The 20,924-nt window shown below is 36.8% G+C and overlaps 1 protein-coding gene across 20 annotated transcripts in view; it reads left to right on the top strand.

Annotated features, from left to right (window-relative positions):
- The window catches only part of ATP11C (ATPase phospholipid transporting 11C (ATP11C blood group)), a 210,556-nt gene that overhangs the window by 172,158 nt on the left and 17,474 nt on the right, over nucleotides 1-20,924 (top strand). For all 20 annotated transcript variants that reach the window (XM_047442018.1, XM_047442024.1, NM_001353810.2 and 17 more), the window contains 5 exons: nucleotides 1,328-1,430; nucleotides 2,640-2,785; nucleotides 6,879-6,938; nucleotides 14,594-14,721; nucleotides 18,889-19,024. In XM_047442018.1, the coding sequence (XP_047297974.1) occupies nucleotides 1,328-1,430; nucleotides 2,640-2,785; nucleotides 6,879-6,938; nucleotides 14,594-14,721; nucleotides 18,889-19,024 (573 nt within the window). The remainder of the gene's footprint in view (nucleotides 1-1,327; nucleotides 1,431-2,639; nucleotides 2,786-6,878; nucleotides 6,939-14,593; nucleotides 14,722-18,888; nucleotides 19,025-20,924) is intronic.

Here is a 20,924-nt window from a genome sequence, read left to right as displayed (position 1 = left end):
ACTATTTAATACAACTAAAACCTGATTGAATTCTATTTAAAGAAATAACTGCAGGGTGCCTTAGCCTCATGAATTATTTTTCATCACTTCAGTTATGTTGAAAATGGATTTTATTTATGTTAACTGGTCAGAACAATTGTGAGGACAGTATTTTTGCAAAGCATTATTTAGCTACTAAATTATTTTTTTTTAAGCCGCTAGATTCCAAGGGGTTTTGTGGCTTGCCACATCAAACAGTGATTATCTAAAACATAGGGTAAGAGGGCAGCTGATCACCCAATGCACTTCCCACAAGTAACTCTGCCAGGAGGTTTTTGGAGAACCCCAAGGCAGAAGTATTTTAATACCAGGGATGAACATTTTATTCAGTACATTTATACATCTTGAAGAAACACTCAGGGAATAGCGACAGGCTTTGTACACATATCTTGGACATCTTTCTGCAAATGTCAACCCCTTTAGTGTACCTCTTTTAAAATACAGCTACTCGTAGGAGAGGTCAGACCATATTGAGCAGTGAGAGATTTATTAAAGTTTAGTTGGCATCCAGATAGGTGCAATAATTTAACATTAGGTAAGTTGGAATAAGGGTTGATGTGCTCCTAGGGAAGGTGAGAGTGTCAGCAGGGAGGAGAGAGTAGAAAGTAACCAAAAACATTGTTCTCTGACTTCCTACTTGGTTCTGGTGGCCTTATGTATGTTACCCCAAATCAGCTTTCTGGCTTCTACTGTCACACATTCAACATCTGATCTGAAAGAACACATGATGCAATGAAAAAAGAAGGAAATGTATTGACCTCTAATATGCATGAGAGGCAAAGTTTTTGATAGTTCATATATGCATAGAACTAGGACAAGTGGGTGCTGGTGTTACATTTTGAATGGCTGTGTTCTGCATCTGTGAATTTGACACTATTGTACATATTACAGTTGGCCCTCCGTATCCATGGGTCCTGCATCCACAGATCCAAACAACTGTGGATTGAAAATATTAGAATAAAACTAAAACAACGAACAGTATAACAATAAAAATAATACCGATTTTAAAACAATACAGTATGACAGCTATTTACATAGCATTTACGTTGTAGTTAGTTACTAAAAGAAACCTAGAGATGATTTAAAGTATGCAGGAGGATTTTGGTATCTACGAGCGTCCTGGAGCCAGTCCTCCAAGGATACTGAGGGATGACTGTATATGCACAAACTACCTTTCTGTTTGCAAGGCTGCTATTTACAAGTGTGAATGAGGCATAAACCCCTAAAGTAGCCCAGTCTTACATTCTTCTTTGACCTTTTTTACACCTCTTTTGTATTTAATATTTAGATTGTCAGAATGGTGAAGAATTTAAAAGGCAGCCCAATAACTCTGTCGATAGGTGATGGTGCCAATGATGTTAGTATGATCTTGGAATCCCATGTGGGAATAGGTAAGATACATCTAATGAGATGGCAGCTGTGAAAAGTATCAGTATTGCTTTTAGGTAGTGTGGTCTTACATTCTAGAGTGACTGTTTTGGTTACTCATCTTGAATTTGAATTTTGGAATGATAATTGTTAATTAAATGGAGGCCTCATCTGATCATGCAACATGTCCATCCCAAGGTCCTACCCCATGGTAGAAATGTAGCAATGTAACAAAGTTAAAGGATATTTTTCAATTAGCCAAGTAGAGTGAATTTCCCAAAGCTACTGGCAGCACAATTGATTGTTTAGCTCTTACTTTGACAGCATGCATGAAATTTTTATTGATTTTCTGCCCCTGGCCAGACTGCCTGCTTATGTTGCTGTACTATATCTTTTGACATCTCAACTGTTTGGGGCTAAGAAATGATAATTGGTTGGCTGTTTTTCAACATGGCAGTATTAATGGGTGGTTTGGGCTGTAGTGTTGAATTTATATATTGACATGCAACAACAGCTTTTCCACCACCTGTACCATTTTTTTTCCCTTCTCTGGTTGCTATTAGGCAACACAACTAACTCCCCAGCAAGTTAGTTAGCTAGTTTGTTTGTTTTGGCAGGGTGGTGGGGCCAGATATGGAATTCATATCTTGGGAATTATTGTACTGCAGTTTAGGTTCCCAAACTGTTCTTTTCATTTGGAAGTATTCCTATTTCTTGTGCAACTTGAAGTACTACTCATTGGTTATCCAAGTGTCAAATGGCCTAAAGCTGCTCGAGCTCATAGAACCCTTGCGCTGCTAGTCAGGGTTTCATACATGAAAGAATTTCACCGTCTTCTCATTGAACTCCTAGACCACAAACCCCAGGTTTCTGAGTTCCCTTAATATAGCACCTAGTCTAGCGTCATACACAATTAAGCACTTACTGAGTGACTTAATTATTTTTAAGTTGAGTTTTTTTCTTCAGATAATTTTTACCTTGTAATGATTGAAATAATGATTCTATTTAATTGTTGTATACTGTATTACGAATAGGGAGTTACCAGTTAAACTTAGTTAAATTATTTGGTAAGTCTCAGTGTCACTGTTAAAGAAAGCTCTTTTGGTTTTTAAAAAAGGAAAACTAATTGATAGAATTGAACTATAACATTAAACCAAGTTGAAACTGTGAAGATAAATCAGGGAGTCATTTATTCTAGAAAATGCTCACCATATAGAGATACTCTCTTTTAGGTATTAAAGGCAAAGAAGGTCGCCAAGCAGCTAGGAATAGCGATTATTCTGTTCCAAAGTTTAAACACTTAAAGAAACTGCTGTTGGCTCATGGACATCTATATTATGTGAGAATAGCACACCTTGTACAGTACTTCTTCTATAAGGTATGTGATAAAATATATGTAATTTAATTTCTTTTTAATCCAGCATTGGCTCAGCTTGGTCATGGTTTTGTTCTTCCTTTTTTTTTTTTAATGCTGCTTTTGATATCTCATACTGAAATTTGCAGTCAACAAAGCAGAGGTGGTCTATTGGATGAATCAGAAACCAGAAATGCCTTTTGATGCAAAATTTTTGATAGGAATTTTTAAGCCCTCCTTATTGAAATGTAAATTAAATACAATAAAGTGTATTCATCAAAAGTGTACAGTTCCATGAGTTTTGCCAAATGTATACATCCATGTAACCATTACACCAATCAAAAAATAGAACATTTTGGCTTGGTAGTGGCTCATTCCTGTAATCCTAGTGCTTTTGGAGGCCAAGGCGGGAGGATCACTTGAGGTCAGGATTTTGAGACCAGCCTGGGCAATAATATGAGACCTTGTCTCTACAAAAATAAAAATTTTCTAAAATGAAATTTTTGCAGTCATTTCTAATTGTCTATAAGCATGTCAACCAAGAGAACCAGTGGTAACACTTTGATATGTGACCTTGCTGGTCTTTTGTCTGTACAAATTAACATATGTACTTTTTTTATACTTTTATACACTATACACTACATTGAGGTTTTTACAATTTTTTTGAGATATAATTTAACAAAATTCACCTTTTTTTAAAGAAAAATTTTCTTAAAGACAGAGTCTCACTCTGTTGCTCAGGCTGGAGTGCAGTGGCGCGATCTCGGCTCACTGTAGCCTCTGCCTCCTGGGTTCAAATGATGCTCATGCCTCAGCTTCCCGAGTAGCACATGCCACCACACCTGGCTGATTTTTGTGTTTTTAATAGAGACAGGGTTTCACCATGTTGGCCAGGCCGGCCTCAAACTCCTGACCTCAAGTGATCTGCCCCCCTCAGCCTCTCAAAGTGCTGGGATTACAAGCTTGAGCCACCATGCTTGGCCTAAAATTCACCATTTTAAAGTGTATAATTCAGTTACTTATAATGTGTTCACTATGATGTGCAACCATCATCATTGTCTAATTCTAAAACTTTTCTATCATTTCCAAAAGAAACCTTGTACGTATTGGTATAATACATATTGCTTTGCACTTTGCCTTTTTCACTTAATTTATGTTGTGAACATTTTTCTCACCCAATTTAATATTCTTCCAAAACATGATAATTGTGCAACATTGCAAATCCCCAATATTGGACACTGAAGTAGTTTCCTCAACAATACCTTGGTTTCCGTTTTATCACCAAGCATTAGCGTATACGTTAGACTGAGTCTGCATACTTGTTATTGTCTACCAGGGAATAGAATTTACCAAATTTCTTAATTAGATTCTAGTTTGTAGGTAGAGTATTTAGTGCATCTTCCAACTACTCAAATCATATAGTATTTAGTATATAATTCAAGTAGTTATGATATTTGAATTTCATACCCTATATTTTATAAGAGTTAAAGCTCAGCACCTGATTTTGTGTGTCAGTTGTCTATAGTCAACCCTAGGTCTTTCTTACTAACTTTATATTTAAAGAAAATACATATTTATAAAACTATGAACCCAGTTTCACAAATTTTCTAAGACCCTGGTAGCCAGTATCTGCTGGTAGCCAGGCCAAACACTGTGGAGGAGGAAAATGATGATAATGATGATGGTAACCCAATATGTGTAAGGTATTTTGTGAGTTCACAAAATCACTTTTTAAAAAATGTAATCCTCACAAACATCCTATGAGTCAAGTAGTAGTATCTCCATTTAAAATACATGGAAAGTAGAGCTCAGAGAGATGGTATAACTTGCCTTTGGCTTTCCATCCAGGAGGTGACAGAGCTAGATGTTCCACCATAGATTCATTTACTCCAAATCCAGGACTTTTTATGTGTCACAGTTAGGGTCTTTTGGGCCTTGCACCCAGTAACAGCAGCTCATGGAAATAAAGGGTTATTCTCTCTTGACCTTCACCTAGTAGGAGATCCCTTGAAGATTTGTCATACAGATCTGCCTAGTAATCTGAACCTATTTCAGAGGCTTATTTTGCCTCTTTTGAGTTTTGGCCTGCAATTTAAGCAACTGCCACCAGATGGAAGGAATGCTCTGTTAAGGAGAGCAAAACAAGCGTTAAAATGGCAAATGTTGACCAGTGGTTATTTATGTAGATGATATCCTCTGTCTTCGTTAGTATCTCTAGGCCCATTATCATCTTGGTTACTGACTCAGCAGTATTTCTTTTTTATTACTATCTTTTGTGCGAAGAGGATTTCTAAAATTTTCAACTCTATTTGGCTGAGCTGAGAAGTCTTTCCATCCTCTCGCCATTGCATCTTCAAATTGTTATTGCCCACTCCCGGAGTACTTCAGTGACAGGTCTTCCTGCCTTCTGTTTCTCCATTTAATCCTCCTTACATAATTCAACTAGATTAGTGTTTAAAGAATGCCACTTTTCAACTTGTCCCTTAGAACCTTTACTCTCCACCGTCTCAGCTTTAGTCTGGCTTTTAATGCACCCCACAGTGTGACCCTGTCTTACCATATAAGTTTAAAATATATACATTCTTGCCTTGGTTCCTGCCATCAACATGTCCTATTCATCTTTATTCATAGTTCGAGTTCTAAGTTGTTTATTCAATCGGTGAACAAATATATTTTAAATGTGTTACCATGTGCCAAGGCCTGTTTTAGGTGCTTGAGGATACACCATGGAATAAGACAGGCAGTGTCCCTTTTCTCATGAGACTTACATTCTGGTGGGTGAGGTAGATACCTGCTCTCCCTTCTCAATGGAGCATCCCCATGATCCCCACTGAGCTCTACCTGCTTCAACCTCAGAACACTTATTTTTTTCATAAACTGTGACTCTAGGAATACTATGGACTATATTTTGCATTGTACCAGAACTGATAATGTATAAATGAGTGTTGCTTTTCCAGGTGATGACCTTGGGAGCTCTGACTCATGCTGCAGGGGCAATTCAAAACCTGTTGAGCTCATTTCTTTAGAAACATCCTCCAGAGCCAGTAGTACATTGATCGAAATATCCTCAGCTGTGGTAGATGTTCATCTTTTGAGGTTGCATTTGATTTTTAAAAACAGTCTCAAGTCTCCTAGAGCTAATTCTGGAGAAATTAGCTGACAGAAGGGAGGAGACTGGTTTTCTGGCATGACTGGAAAGTGGGCTCTTGAAGGGGCTTCTTGAAGAGAAGTTCAGAGACATCATGACCAAGTAACAGTAAAAAAGCTCACAGCCTGCTTTGAAGGATAGCACTTATTTGAAAATTCTCGTGCTGGTAGTTTTGCTTAAAGACATTACTTTCAGTATTTTATAATCACACTTAGTAGCTTTTACTACCTTATGAATTCCCAGCTTGTGTTTCTTTTCTGCTTGTCTTTTTAGTATTTCTCAAATTAAATAATAAGTCCCTTAGGACAGTGGTCCCCAACCTTTTTGGCACCAGAGACCTCGGGCCCTAATGCTCACTTGCCTGCCACTCACCTCCTGCTGTGCAGCCTCGGGGGAGGGGCGGGGGAGCCCTGACTTAGGAAAAAGAAGTTGACTCTTTTTTTGTTATCATCTGTGTGCCACCTTTGTGTGTAGTAGATGCTCAGTAATGATATGTTGATTGTTTGATGAGGTAGTAATAAAGGCATTAAAGCGTTAGTTGATATTGTTAGTGTCAACATAATCTATAATAATTTCCCAACTATTTATTGGCATTAATTGACTTTAAATGTACACTTACAGCATTGTCAGTCTACTATATGATTTGCAAATCTAATTGGTGTTAAAGATACAGTATCATTAGGTGTTCATATTGGAGGAGCTCATTTATTTCCTGGAAGAAGGACAGCAACAGATTCTCATAAAGTAAATAAGATCCTCTTCTGCCTTGATAGGGCAAAAGTTGGCCTTAATATGAATTAATCATTGTTTTAGTTGTTTCCTTATGTCTGTGGAATAGAGGTTTATTGCATTCTGACATTAGAAGGATTTAGGAATAATTATAAACTATTTGGAATATAGTTTCCCATTTTAGTTTAGCAAGTTGATTAAGTGAAAATGTTAATCCTTGTCTTAATTTTTTTTTTTCAGAACCTTTGTTTCATTTTGCCACAGTTTTTGTACCAGTTCTTCTGTGGATTCTCACAACAGGTTTGTTTCTCAAGTTATTCGTTATAATATAGTTTACATTTGCTGTTAATAAATTACCCTTATATATTAGATTTCTAGAGATTAGAGATGTATGTACAAAGTAAAATGATCTCTTGGTTTTGACAACAGCAAATGTTTATGTCTTTGCTTTTCTAGTTTTCTTATTGTTACCTTCATTTTGAAATGCTTTTGGTACATCCTGTTGGAGTTGTGATAACATTAAAAAGAGTATTTTGAATTTTTTCTTTTTATCAATGTATAAAAAGTGTTTCATAATTCTAAAATGTTATAGTTTAATATTTCATCAAATGGAATCTCCCAACTTTGCAGGCTTTCAGGTTAGTTTTATAGAAAAGCATTAATCTTTAAGCTAGCCAAGAACCTGTGATTCCTAGAGAAAGCTTTGGATTACGTAAAGCAGCTATAGATGTTTTGCCTTCTATTGTTTTCTGAACATGTATTACATAAGGAATATGCTATATATTAACTTGATACATAAGTGGTAGGATGGCGAGACATCTTTGTTTTAAAAACTGAAATGGATTTGGCATTGCTTCTAGTGGGAGGTATAGCGAAATACAGCGAAATACAGGAGCTATAGTACTCAGTGACTCAGAAATTTTATAATTAATCTATGAGAAGTTCAGTGATTTTGCCAAACTGAGCTACCACATTGCCATAGGTGTTAAGTTTCTAAATTTCAAAGGCAAGCTTTATATATGCTTCTGTGAATACAAAGTACACTTATGAATACACTTATGTATTCTTCTTGGGTCCTCCTGGTAGGAAGTGATTTTTTCCTAATTCTTTGGCAGTTTTTTTTTTTTTTTTTTTTTTTTACTTTTAGGTTCAGGAGTGCATGTGCAGGTTTATGTAGGTAAACTCATGCCACAGGAGTTTGGTGTTCAGTTTATTTTGTCACCCAGGTAAAAAGTATAGTACCTGATAGGTAGCTTTTTGATCCTCTCCCTCCTCTCACTCTCCACCCTGAAGTAGACTCCAGTGTCTGTTGTTCCCTTCTTTGTGTCCATATGTTCTCATTGTTTAGCTCCCACTTATAAGTTAGAATATGCTGTATTTGGTTTTCTGTTTTTGTGTTAGTTTGCTTAGGATGATGGCTTCCAGCTCCATCCGTGTTGCTGCAAATGACATGATCTTATTTTTTATGGTTGCATAGTATTTAATGGTATATATGTACCACATTTTCTTTATCCAGTCTACCATTGATGGGAATTTAGGTTGATTACATATCTTTGATATTATGAAGAATGCTGCAGTAAACGTGTATATGTGTCTTTATGGTAGAATAATTTATATTCCTTTGGGTATATACCCAGTAATGGGATTGCTGGGTTGAATGGTAATTCTGTTTTAAGGTCTTTGAGGAATCATCACACTGCTCTCCACAATGGCTAAACTAATTTACATTCTCACCAGCATTCTGCAAGTGTTCCCTTTTCTCTGCAACCTTGCCAGCATCTGTTACTTTTTTGACTTTTTAATAATAGCCATTCTGACTGGTGTGAGATGGTATCTCGTTTTTGTTTTGATTTGCATTTCTCTAATGATTAGTGATGTTGAGCGTTTTTTCATATGCTTGTTGGCTGCGTGTATGTCTTTTGAAAAGTGTCTGTTCGTGTCCTTTGCCCACTTTTTAATGGGGTGGTTTGATTTTTGCTTATAAATTTATGTAAGTTCCTTACAGATGCTGGATATTACATATTTGTCACATTCATCATTTGTAAATATTTTCTCCCATTTTGTAGGTTGTCAGTTTACTCTGTTGATAGTCATCTTCTTGTATGCAGAAATTCTTTATTTAATTAGGTAACATTTGTCAGTTTTTGTTTTTGTTGCTATTGCTTTCAGCATCTTTGCGATGAAATCTTTGCCAGCTCCTGTGTCCAGACTGGTATATCCTAGGTTATCTTCCAGGGTGGTTATAGTTTTAGGTTTTACATTTAAGTCTTTAATCCATCTTGAGTTGATTTTTGTATATGGCATAAGAAACGGGTCCAGTTTCAATCTTCTGCATGTGGCTAGCAAGTTATCCTAGTGCCATTTATTGAATAGGGATTCTTTTCCCCATTGCTTGTTTCTGTCAGCTATGTTGAAGATCACATGGTCATAGATATGTGGCCTTTTTTCCGGGCTCTCTATTCTGTTCCATTGGTCTGTTTTTGTATCAGTACCATGCGGTTTTGGTTACTGTAGCCTGTAGTATAGTTTGAAGTCAGGTATTGTAATGCCTCCAGCTTTGTTCATTTTGCTTAGGATTGCCTTGGCTATTTGGGCTCTTTTTTGGTGCCATATGAATATTAAAATATTTATTTCTAATTCTGTGAAGAATGTAATTAGTAGTTTGATAGGAATAGCATTGAACTTGTAAATTGCCTGGGGCAATATGACCATTTTAACAATATTGATTCTTCCTATCCAAGAGCATGGAATGTTTTTCCATTTGTTTGTGTCATCTCTGATTTCTTTGAGCAGTGTTTTGCAATTTTCATTGTAAAGATCTTTCACCTCACTGGTTAGCTGTATTTCTAGGCATTTCATTATTTTTGTGGCTGTTGTGAATGGGATTATGTTACTGATTTGGCTCTCAGCTTGGATGTTGTTGGTGTATAGGATTGCTACTGATTTTTGTACATTGATTTCGTATCCTGAAACTTCGCTGAAGTTATCAGGTCAAGGAGCTTTTGGGGCAAGACTATGAGGTTTTCTAGATATAGAATCATATTGTCTGCAAACAGGGATAGTTTGACTTGCTGTCTTCCTATTTGGATGCCTTTTATTTCTTTCTCTTGCCTGATTGCTTTGGCTAGGACTTCCAGTACTATGTTAAATAGGAGTGGTGAGAGAGGGCATCCTAGTCTTCTGGTTTTTGAGGGAATGCTTCCAGCTTTTGATTGTTAAGTGTGATGTTGGCTATGGGTTTTTCTTAGATGGCTCTTATTATTTTGAAGAATGTTCTTTCAGTGCCTCGTTTGTTGAGAGTTTTTAACATGATGGATTTTATTGAAAACCTTTTCTGCATCTATTGAGATGATCATGTGGTTTTTGTTTTTAGTTCTGTTTATGTGATAAATCACATTTATTGATTTGCAGATATTGAACCAACCTTGCATTCTAGTGATAAAGCCTGCCTGATCATGGTGGATTAGCTTTGTGATGTGCTGCTGGTTTCAGTTTGCTAGTATTTTGTTGAGTATTTTTGCATCTATCTTCTTCATCAAGGATATTGGCCTGAAGTTTTCTTTTTGTTGTTGTTGTTGTGTCTGTGCCAAGGTTTCCGTATCAGAATGATGCTGGCCTGATAGAATGATTTAGGGAGGAGTCCCTCCTTCTCAATTTTTTTGGAATAGTTTCAGTAGGAATGCTACAGATCTTCCTTATACATCTGGTAGAATTTGGCTGTGACTCCATCTGGTCCTGAGCTTTTTTTTTGGTTGGTATACTTTTTATTACCTTTCAGTTTTTGAAGTCATTATTGGTCTTTTCAGGGATTCAGGAAATCTCTGGTTTTCTGACTGGTTCAGTCTTGGGAGGTTGTATATGTCCAGAAATTTAACCATTTCTTATAGGTTTTCTAGTTTGTATGCATAGAAATGTTCATAGTAGTCTCTCAGGGTTTTTGTATTTCTGTTGTATCTGTAGTATCATCTGCTTTGTCATTTCTGATTGTGTTTATTTGAATTTTCTCTTTTTTTTCTGTATTAGTCCAGCTAATGGTCTATGTATATTATTACATTTTTTCAAATAACCATCTCCTGGATTTCTTGGTCTTTTGTATGGTTTTTTTGCATCTCAGTTTCCCTCAGTTCAGCTCTGATTTGGGTTATTTCTTGTTTTCTTCTAGCTTTGGGGTTGGTTTGCTCTTGTTTCTGTAGTTCCTCTAGTTGTGATGTTGGGTTGTTAATTTGACCTCTTTCTAACTTCTTTCTTTGGTTTCCTTTTCTTCTTCTTTTCTTCCCTTTCCCTTTCCCTTTCTTTTCTTTCTTTTTCTCTTGCTCTGTCACCCAGGCTGTAATGCAGTGGCGTGATTTCGGCTCACTGCCACCTCCACCTCCTGGGTTCAGGTGATTTCTCCTGCCTCAGCCTCCCAAGTAGCTGAGATTACAGGTGCCTGTCACCACACCTGGCTAATTTTTGTATTTTATTAGAGATAGGGTTTCAGCATGTTGGTCAGGCCGGTCTTGAACTCCTGACCTCAGATGATCTGCCTGTGTTGGCCTCCCAAATTGCTGGGATTACAGGCTTCAGCCACTGTGCCCGGCCCTCTTTTTAACTTTTTGATGCGGGTGTTTAGTGCTATAAATTTCCCTCTTAACACTTCCTTAGCTGTGTCCCAGAGATTCTGGTATGTTGTATCTTTGTTCTTCATTAGTTTTAAAGAAATTCTTGATTTTTGCCTTAATTTCATTATTTACCCAAAAATCATTCAGGAGCAGGTTGTTTAATTTCCATGTTGTTGTATGGTTTTGAGTGATTTTCTTAGTATTCATTTCTATTTTTATCACTCTGTGGTTTGAGAGTATGGTTGGTATGATTTTTGTTTTTTTGAATTTGCTGTGGATTGTTATGTCCAATTGTGTGGTCGATTTTAGAGTATGTGCCATGTGGTGATAAGAGGAATGTATATTCTGTTGTTTTGGGGGTAGAGAGTTCTGTAGATGTCTGTTAGGTCCATTTGGTCACATGTTGAATTCAGGGCCTGAATATCTTTGTTAATTTTTGGCCTCAGTGATCTGTCTCATACTGCCAGTAGGGTGTTGAAGTCTCTTTGGCAGTATTTTTAAGAGAATGCATTCTTCTCAATGGGAATGACTGGTCTCTTTCTCTTGAATTTGCCTTTTTACTATTTGGTATGCTGTCTCTTACATCAGTGCCATGTCATTAGCCCAGTAGTGCCAGTTAAGCAGATAATCTTTCATTATAAATTAAGCATCTTGCAGTTTTTGGAAGTGCCATCAACCTTCTTGTATTCAAAATTAATAGTATTAGAGAGTTTCGTAAGTTCTGATCAATCTGTTTTTCTTGAACATTCAAATTGCTATTGAGCAAAATGTTGCTAATTCCTTACTTTCTTGGATGGATGCAAGTATTAAAAGTATATTTGAAATTCTCTTAACTAATGTGTAGCAGTGTGCTAAAGGTAAGTTGGCTTGTTCTGGTGGAAATATTGTTTTCATTTTGAAAGGAGTCTGTTGCTGTATTATCCTTTTAAAATATGTTTACCAAGCACAAATTTTAGGGGAAAAAGGACTCATTCCTTACAAAGCCAGCTGAGATTTAAACCGTGGATTGTCTTCAGTCTTCTTAGATTACCTTAACTGCTTATGGTTCCATAGGAGTTGATGTTTGGCTCCTTCCGTTGCTCAACTGGTAGGTTCATTCATTTGGCAACTATTTCTTGATTGCCTACTTTGTGCCAGGCTAAGTGCTGAGAATATTGCAGTGATCAAAATAAACTTCCTTGCCCCCATGAAACTTGCAGTGTGTAGTGATAGGGTGAAAGACAACAATCAAATATATTATGTTGGGTACTGATACATGCTATGATGGAAAAAAGAAAGCATAATAAAGGGATAGAGTGTGACTGGGAGAGAGAGAGCTGCCGTTTTAGACATCTGAAAAGGTCTCTCTGATGAGGTGACATTTGGGCAGAGACCTGGAGGTAAGGGAAGGAATAACGTCGACATCTTAAAGGAAAAGTGTACCAGGTAAAAGGAAGGTAAAAGAGTACCAGGAGAGCTCAGGAGGTAATGTGATGTGCAAAATCTTTATTTTTGATTTTGGTTTTGTGCTAGTGCTGAATGTAGCAACCTTTATTGCAAATATCTTTGGAGTACCTTTGAGTAGTCAGCCTTTTTCAGTCCAGAAGCACATTAGGCATTCTCTGGAACTTGCGAGGAGGACTATGAAGAATGTAGAAATGGACCAGGATTCAGATTCTTTACACAAAAAGCTTCCCTTTCTTTAGCAAAACTAGGATACTAAATGTCTTTTTTTTTTTTTTAATGAAAAGGAAACATTGTAACAGGTTTCATAAAAAAGCAGTATTATCAACTTTATCTGTTTGTTTTGGGGATATTCTGTCTCTTCTAATTATGTACCTAAGAATTACAATTATCTGTCATGTGATTTTAAAGTACCATAGTGAAACAAAAGTAGATTGATGCTTCTTTTGTTTGAATGAAATTCAAGACTAAATGACACACCAGTCAATCTGAGTTGTATTTTTTAAATTTACTCATTAGTGAAAATGAGTAGCTTCCAAAGAAAATGTGGTGTTATGTGCCACGGACTAGTCCTCTCCTTTGAAAATAAAAAGGAATGCAACACTTTTTTTTGTACTTCTTAATTCAGTGGAATATCTTTGCTGAGCTTAAATCTTTGTTTATAGAAAGTACGTTGGAAGTGTCTTTTAACTTCATGGAGAATGTTGCATCCATTATCATTTGCTTTGTCTCTCCTGCCAGCCAGAGTTGTAGTCCCCTCCTCTGGGTTTCCCCAGCTCCCTGTGTACCTCTCATTCTGCCTCTCCATCTAGAATTTGAACTCCCTGGTGGATAGGGGAGGAATCGTCTCTGTCCCTAGTACTTGTCATTTAGTAGGCACTCGGTAAATGTTCTGAAGTCAACTAGTGAACTAACTAATGCACCATTCAAGTAATTCCCAGCCTTTTGTAATTATCTTTAGTAGCCATTGATTGAAAATACATTATTTTGTTAATTTGTGTCATAGTTTAATGCATTTTATTAAGGGACATTTATACATGTGAAAAATACATATGAGTATGGGGAATTATTTATTCAGGCCACAGAAAATGTTTGTTTGACAATCTTTAGCACTGTGTAGATAAATACTGATGTAAATGCTTTCATCAGAATGAGGTTCATAGAATACTTTAAATTTTTTCAATAAAGGAAGATTTATAATATCAGAGCAGGCCTTTATAAATGTTATAGCTTCCGATCTATCCTCATTCATTTATTCATCTAGTGTTTATTGATTGTTTTTGTATGCCAAGTCCTGTTATAGGAGCTCAAGATTGTCCAAGTTCTCCAGTCAAAGACCCCCATGAACACACTTGTAGTTGATCAAATTAGGTTTATTACTCAGTTCAGGAAGGAAGAACACATGCCATGAGGAACTGTGGGACTTCTCAGGAAGAGGATGTTAGAAAAGACTTACACAATTTGGACTTGAAAATACTAACCAAAAATATGTAAAATATTAACCAAAACATTTGTGACACAGGCTGGCTGCTGCCTGTATTTAGTTTCTCTGAGGATTCCTCACTTATACTTAATGGTCTTTGCTGAAGTAACTCCAGAATAGCTAGTTTTAGCTACTAAGCAATCTTGAAAAGTTGTTCATGTCTATTAGAAATGCAGCTTATAGCATGTAAACATTCTGAATAAGATTCTGTTAAAGGGGAGGTGTATTAATGTGACACATCACAATATGTTAGTTTCTTTTTTATAGTTACTAGGCAGTGACCTTATTTACAGATTCCTTTGCCACTACCAAAAGCATGTAAAAAAATTTCTTATTTTAGCTAGTAAGTTTTTCACATACATAAGTATCATCTTGTAGATGATTGTTACATGAAATTTCTTTCTTTCCTCTGTTGTTTTTCATTTTAGCCACTGTATGATGCTGCTTACCTTACAATGTACAATATCTGCTTCACATCCTTGCCCATCCTGGCCTATAGTCTACTGGAACAGCACATCAACATTGACACTCTGACCTCAGATCCCCGATTGTATATGTAAGTTAAATATATAGTTAAAACCCCCTAAGACTTTCAGTGTTGTGATTTTCATTTTATCTGCAGATGGGAAGAACACAGAACTGTGCACTTGGTTTGTGGTATGATTATATGGTTCTGTTTGGAATTTTTAGCTATTGAAAGCAGACTGCTCAACAGGAAAATGACATATTTCCTAGGTGTGGGTTCTGTACTTGAATATATGTGAAACATTTAGTTCAGAGTCACTAATTCCTAAAACTTGAAACTATATTGTCATAGTGTTCTAGTGTCTCATGGGAAGACATGATATTTTAACTGCAAAGAAAAAAAGCATACACAAAGATCTTCTGTAGTTTAGAATATTGATTCCTACTTGTTGTAGATTGAACTGATGAAGTTATATTACCCTTTCTCATGTAAACTGCACCCATAGCATTAGCCGCCCCACACCCCACCTTTGTTAGCCCCATTCTAAAACTGTTGAAGAAAATAATGGACTCATAAGCCATTGTATTCATTTTGTGTCAGTTGAAAATGGATGCTTTTCTCTGTGGATGGGGGACTTGGCACTAGCCCCAGTTGTTTAACTTATGATTTAATTGGATTTTTAGAATTGTAGCCTACAGCTAAGGATAAAGATATTAATTTATAGCAGATTGTAAGCATTGCTAAATAGTAGGTAGCAAGTGCAATAGAGAGGTTTGGATGGTTTATTTGTATGAAATGAAGATACACAAATTTAAGGGATTTTTTTTAACCAGCATGACTCATAAAATTTACATTTAGCAATTGTTAGAATTACACAGTTGTGAAATTTATCATTTTAAAGGTCTTTATTAAGGAAAATTTCAGACATACATAAAAGTAGAGAGAATGCTATTTATATAATGAATGAATGTAAATAGTTGTTGAACCACTCAGCTTGTCCTAACCACTCAGCTTCAACAACTCTCAATTCCTTGACATTCCTATTCCACTGATAACCCCGTCTGCTCTATCACAGGCTTATTTTGAAGTAAATCTCAAAAACAGTTATTTCATTATGCATCTCTTAAAGACAAGGATTTTTAAAAATAATAATACCCTATCACTTAAGTCCTTAATATCAAATAGTCAATGGTCACATTTCTCCAGTTGACTCATTTCTTTTCATAGCATGCTTATTTGAATCAGGATCTAAAGAAGGTCCACACATTGCAATTGGTTTATATACTTTCTGAGTCTCTTTTAATGTTTAGGTTAACCTTGCAATTTATTTGTGGACAAAACCAGATTATTTATGTTGTAAAATTTCTCCCAGTCTAGAGTTTGCTGATTGCATCTTCATGGTGTTTACATGTTCTGCTGATCCTATATTTGTTGTAAATGCATAATTAGATGTAGAGGAGAATCATTAGAACTTTGGTAGAAATCTTACAAGCATCAGCTCCTACTACACTCTTTTTGAAAATAAGGAACCAGGGCCCCGAAATGACTTACCTAAGGACACAGGGTACAACCAGATGCAAAATGAAGATCAGAATTCAACCCTCTTGCCAGTGCTTTTTCCAGCAAGCCAGTGGTTTTAAAACATTGTTTTAACTGTAGTTGTTTCCAGACAACTTCTAAAGTGAAGCCCGATAGTGCAGTTGCTCTGGTTGAAATGGGGTTTGAGGAGTAGTAGGCAGAATTCCTCCCATTCCGTCCCACCAAGAGCTCAGACTAACACCTGGGCTGAAAGCCTCTGCTACTTACCAGGTGACCTTACCCAGGTTACTGCAATGTGCCTCAGTTTCACCTTCAGTAATACATGGGCAACAGTAGCACCTAATCACAATGGTTTTGTGAGGAGTAAATGAGCCACTATGTATTAAAGAACTTAAAAAAAATAGTGCCTGACAAGTTTTCAAGCAATGATAGCTATTAATCTTATTATTATTCTAACACCCTCCTCCAGCCTTCAGAGCTGTGCTGAACACTTGTATAAATTAAGAATGTGAAAAATCTGCAAAAAGCTGTTGAGTACAAAATATCATAAGGGTTTCCATAAGGTTTTAGTGACTGTGCTAGGTGTAGGTCATGATTTATTGAATTTTGCGTAGACTTGCCACATCTGATGCAAAAATAAAGGCCATGGCATACCTATTGCCGAGCCCAAAGTGCGGCTTTCCTTTTTGATCTCATACTTGCAAGTTGTGAATGCCTGCTCTGACAAGACACTGCTCTTGGCCTGTCACCAGACTGTAGATAGTTTCATTACTCTGACTGTTCTTTTGTGAACATGAAGCCCTGGTCTTCCTATATGGCTCTCTGTACAGTATGCCAATTAATATTAGCAGTGGCGTTGTGTAGTGTATTATAGATTTTACCTTTGGTGATTTAGTGACTTGGGTATTACCAAACACTTGGATGTGAGATGACATAATTGGATGCTTTTATATTTTTAAGAGAAATGTAAGAAATAAACTAGTTTTTCTATAGAGGGAACAGGTGTAATTTGTTTCTTCTACAGCTTTAAAAGGCAAAAGAAAGGGTTCTGGTATACCTGCTGCCTACCATAATACGGAGGTGCTCAGGCCTTTGCTGCTCATCAACCTCTCCCCAGATCTTGATTCTCTCTCATGCTGTCCTTCATGTTGATTGCCCCATTCTGAGTTTTTGACAGCTTCTTTATTCGAATGCAGCTAGAAAGCCTGACCTATAATTCAACATATCATGCTGCTCCTGCTCTTTTCCCCCACTGAATGTGATATAATTCCCATCGATGGTCTGTAAAGACAGGAACTACTTCCTGCTTTTGCCCTTTCTTCCCCAGCCCAAGTCAGTGACTGTCAAAAGCCACATTGGCTGGCAGTTGTTGGGCACTGCCTGCAAGGATCTTTACGGAGGTGCCTTACCTGTGGTTCCTAGTTGCCTTGGAAACATGACTTACTGGCTATAGGGAGAGCTTGTTTCTGGGAAGCAGCTACCTCATTCTGCCATTTTTCTAGGACAGAGAGCATACCCTGAGTTTCAGATCGCTGCATGTACCTGGAAACCCTAGTAGGTAGAAGTTGCATAATTGCCATGTGCACGAAGCCCCACAGTACCCAATACCAACTGAACAAGGATTAGTTGCATTTATATTACAAAGGTGTTTCTTACTTGATACAGCCCAGTGACATTCTTGGTAGTATTAGCGACAAGTATGTTATTTGAGTAATTAGATATCATTTATTAAATGTTAAGAGCAATTTGAAATAGAATCCAAAAGAAACACATGCACCAACCCATCTTTTTCTGCAGCTCTGCTCCATTAGAATTGGTAGCCTTATTTAGCGTTCTGACTTAGGCTGAGAAGGTTGTGCTATTTTTGACAGATTTAAACTTAATCTATCCACCTCCCATTTATCAAAGTATCATTATACAACTGCAAACATGTTATTTGACTTGATGGAAAAATATAAAGGGCACCGTAAGACCTAAAAAAAGGTGAAATTTCCAGGAGTAAATCTTGATTAAAATAAATATTGTAATTGTTCTTGGAAAGCTTGGTAGCTTGGTTGAGAGCATATGCTCTGAAGTCAAGTCAATCCAGGATTGTATATTAGCTCAGTCTGTTACCAAGTGAACTTTGGCACGGCTGCTACACTAGTGGTTCCCAGACTATACTGCACATTGAAATCAACTGGTGGGCTTTAAAAATATCCTGACCTCCAGGTTATACCTTATGCCAATTAAATCAGAATAAAGATGGCAGCCAGGCATTAGTAGTTTTTAATGATCCTCAGGGGATTCCAAAGTGCATCAAAGTTTGGGTACCATTGTGTTACACCTTTCTGAGGCTCCTTATTATTAGCAAATGTGAGTGGTAGTAATACCTATCTCATGTTTTTATGTGGATAAAAATAATGTCTGTAAAACTGTGAACCCAGTTCCTGGTATATAAGTACCATTAAATGGAAGCGAATTATTATTGATGTTATTGTTGTCAGTGACCAAAAATTTGGAAGAGTTTAGAGAGTTTACTCCAGTGGCTGAGTCAGGAGATGATTGCATGAAGGTCAGCCTTTGGCTCAGTCTGACCCTTTACCAAAAATCTGTCAGGCCATTAAGGGTAGCCCCCTTCATTATAACAGGGTCAAATTCCACGCCCACCTTTGACATTTCACTGTATGTTTAAATGAAAAGTTTCACTAATGGTTTTTTCCCCCCATTTCTCAATAGGAAAATTTCTGGCAATGCCATGCTACAGTTGGGCCCCTTCTTATATTGGACATTTCTGGCTGCCTTTGAAGGGACAGTGTTCTTCTTTGGGACTTACTTTCTTTTTCAGACTGCATCCCTAGAAGAAAATGGAAAGGTAAAAAGAACCTGTCATTACATCTTTTGGTATTATAAGCATGGCTTGTCTTTTTCCCATAGGTGCTGGATTTGTCATATACATACTCTAGCTGTAATCATTTTACAAACTTTTTCTGAAGATACAGTAGTTAGTTCTCACAGCTTCTTTAGAACAATAGAAGTGAAATAAGAAATCACTTTCTGTGCATGGCTAACTAGAGAGCTTATGTGCAAACTTTCTGGAACCTTAACTTGGCTGTAATTTTTACTAGATGAACAGAGTTCTTGGGACTTCAGACTCCTGCTCTTTGATGTGAGAAAGGTTTTTCCCATTTTAAAGTAAAGCCTGGCCGCATTCAGTTTTTACTCATAGTGGCCTTCCATGCTTGGAGCTGAAGCGGGTAGCTGCCATATCTTTGGAGTGTTGGCCCAATATGTGAAGAGAGGAATTCTCTTCTCTCCCTCCTCTTCCCAATGGAAGCACAGTATTCTGCAGAAAGGCTATTCTGGTCCTGCCAGTGTCTTCCCAGAACATGACTATCTCATTCAGCAGTTGCACTGGGGTAATTTTGCCCTGGCTGTACTCTAGGAGAAAATTACTGATGGCGGGGACAGCTGAGGCCTTTTTCTGCAGCCACACAATAGGAAAACAAAAACACTACCTTGCATACTGCTTTCACTAAGTTCTCCTTTGCTATTTCTGAGATTCTTCTTTTATGGTCATTCATTCTTTATAATCATAATGTGAAGGAAAGCTAAGGTTCAAAAAGAATTTACTGAGGATACTATGTCTGGAACCTGGTAACACCTGTTACAGAAGTAATAGGTTCAGTGAATTTGAATGGTACTTTAAAATTAGGCACTACAGTCAAAACCTCTCTAATTTGGACTAACAAAAATCAGTTTAGTATGAATCCATGAAAATTATTAATCATAAAGTACTTGTTGGGGAAACACAGATCTGCTTTAAAGTAGTCACATGTAGAACTTGCCAAAGAGAATGTCCTGCTAAATCCTGTGAGTACTTGGGAAAATCACATCAGTTTCCCAGGTCAGTTTTGCCCATCAGTAAGAAGAATGGATTTGATTTTATGATTTCCTGGCCTCTTCAGATTTATAACTGATTGTGCAGCTTTCACTTTTTATGTTAGTTTTATTTGGCAGACAGATTTTATGTAGCTGGCTACTGCTTAAAAGGAGTTTGCTCCAAAGTAGGCAGATACTCTCCTATAGTCGATGTGATTCATTTGCTCAGCAAACTTTCCAGGTGGTGCATGAGAGCATCAATTCAGCGTCTGTTTAATTCATTACCCATTTTGAGTTCATAAAGTCCAAATTAATAAGGTTTTACTGTATATGTCACCATCCCTCTAAATGTTTGCTGAAATTACAGTAAGTGTATGAATTACTTTTAGCAACAAAACATAACACTCATGTATGATTTGAGTGAATCCTTTTTTTTGCTTCTATTAACCTTAATTTTTGTTTTTATTTTTTTGAAAAAACCTTTTACATCTCATTTTCTGTTTTAATGTTACGCATTCAGATCTTGACAGCATTTGGTAAGCATATGTGCCATTCATTGCCATCATTTGGATTTATACATGGTATCTGCTTTTTTTTTTGATGTGCACATGCTGATAGCTCTTGTATTTACAGCCAAAAAAATCAGACTCATTTAAAAAATGTGAATCCATTTGTCTATAAATTACTGCTCATTTGAGAGGTTTAGTTCTATATTATAGGAAAATCCCATATCAAATTCTTTAGAGACATGAATCATCCAAATGACTTGTTTTGATGAACATTGCTGTTAGTAGAGTAGTTGCCTTCTTTGGCCTTTATCACAACAGTGAGTTCCCTCTTCAGTGCTGCATGGAGTAATAGAAATAAACCCTACCAGCCACAGGTGTGGTGTA

This window comes from Homo sapiens, chromosome X, assembly GCF_000001405.40.
Source record: "Homo sapiens chromosome X, GRCh38.p14 Primary Assembly".
Taxonomy (NCBI): domain Eukaryota; kingdom Metazoa; phylum Chordata; class Mammalia; order Primates; family Hominidae; genus Homo; species Homo sapiens.
Note: the sequence above shows the minus strand (reverse complement) of the source record. Positions and strands in the feature narration are given on the sequence as shown.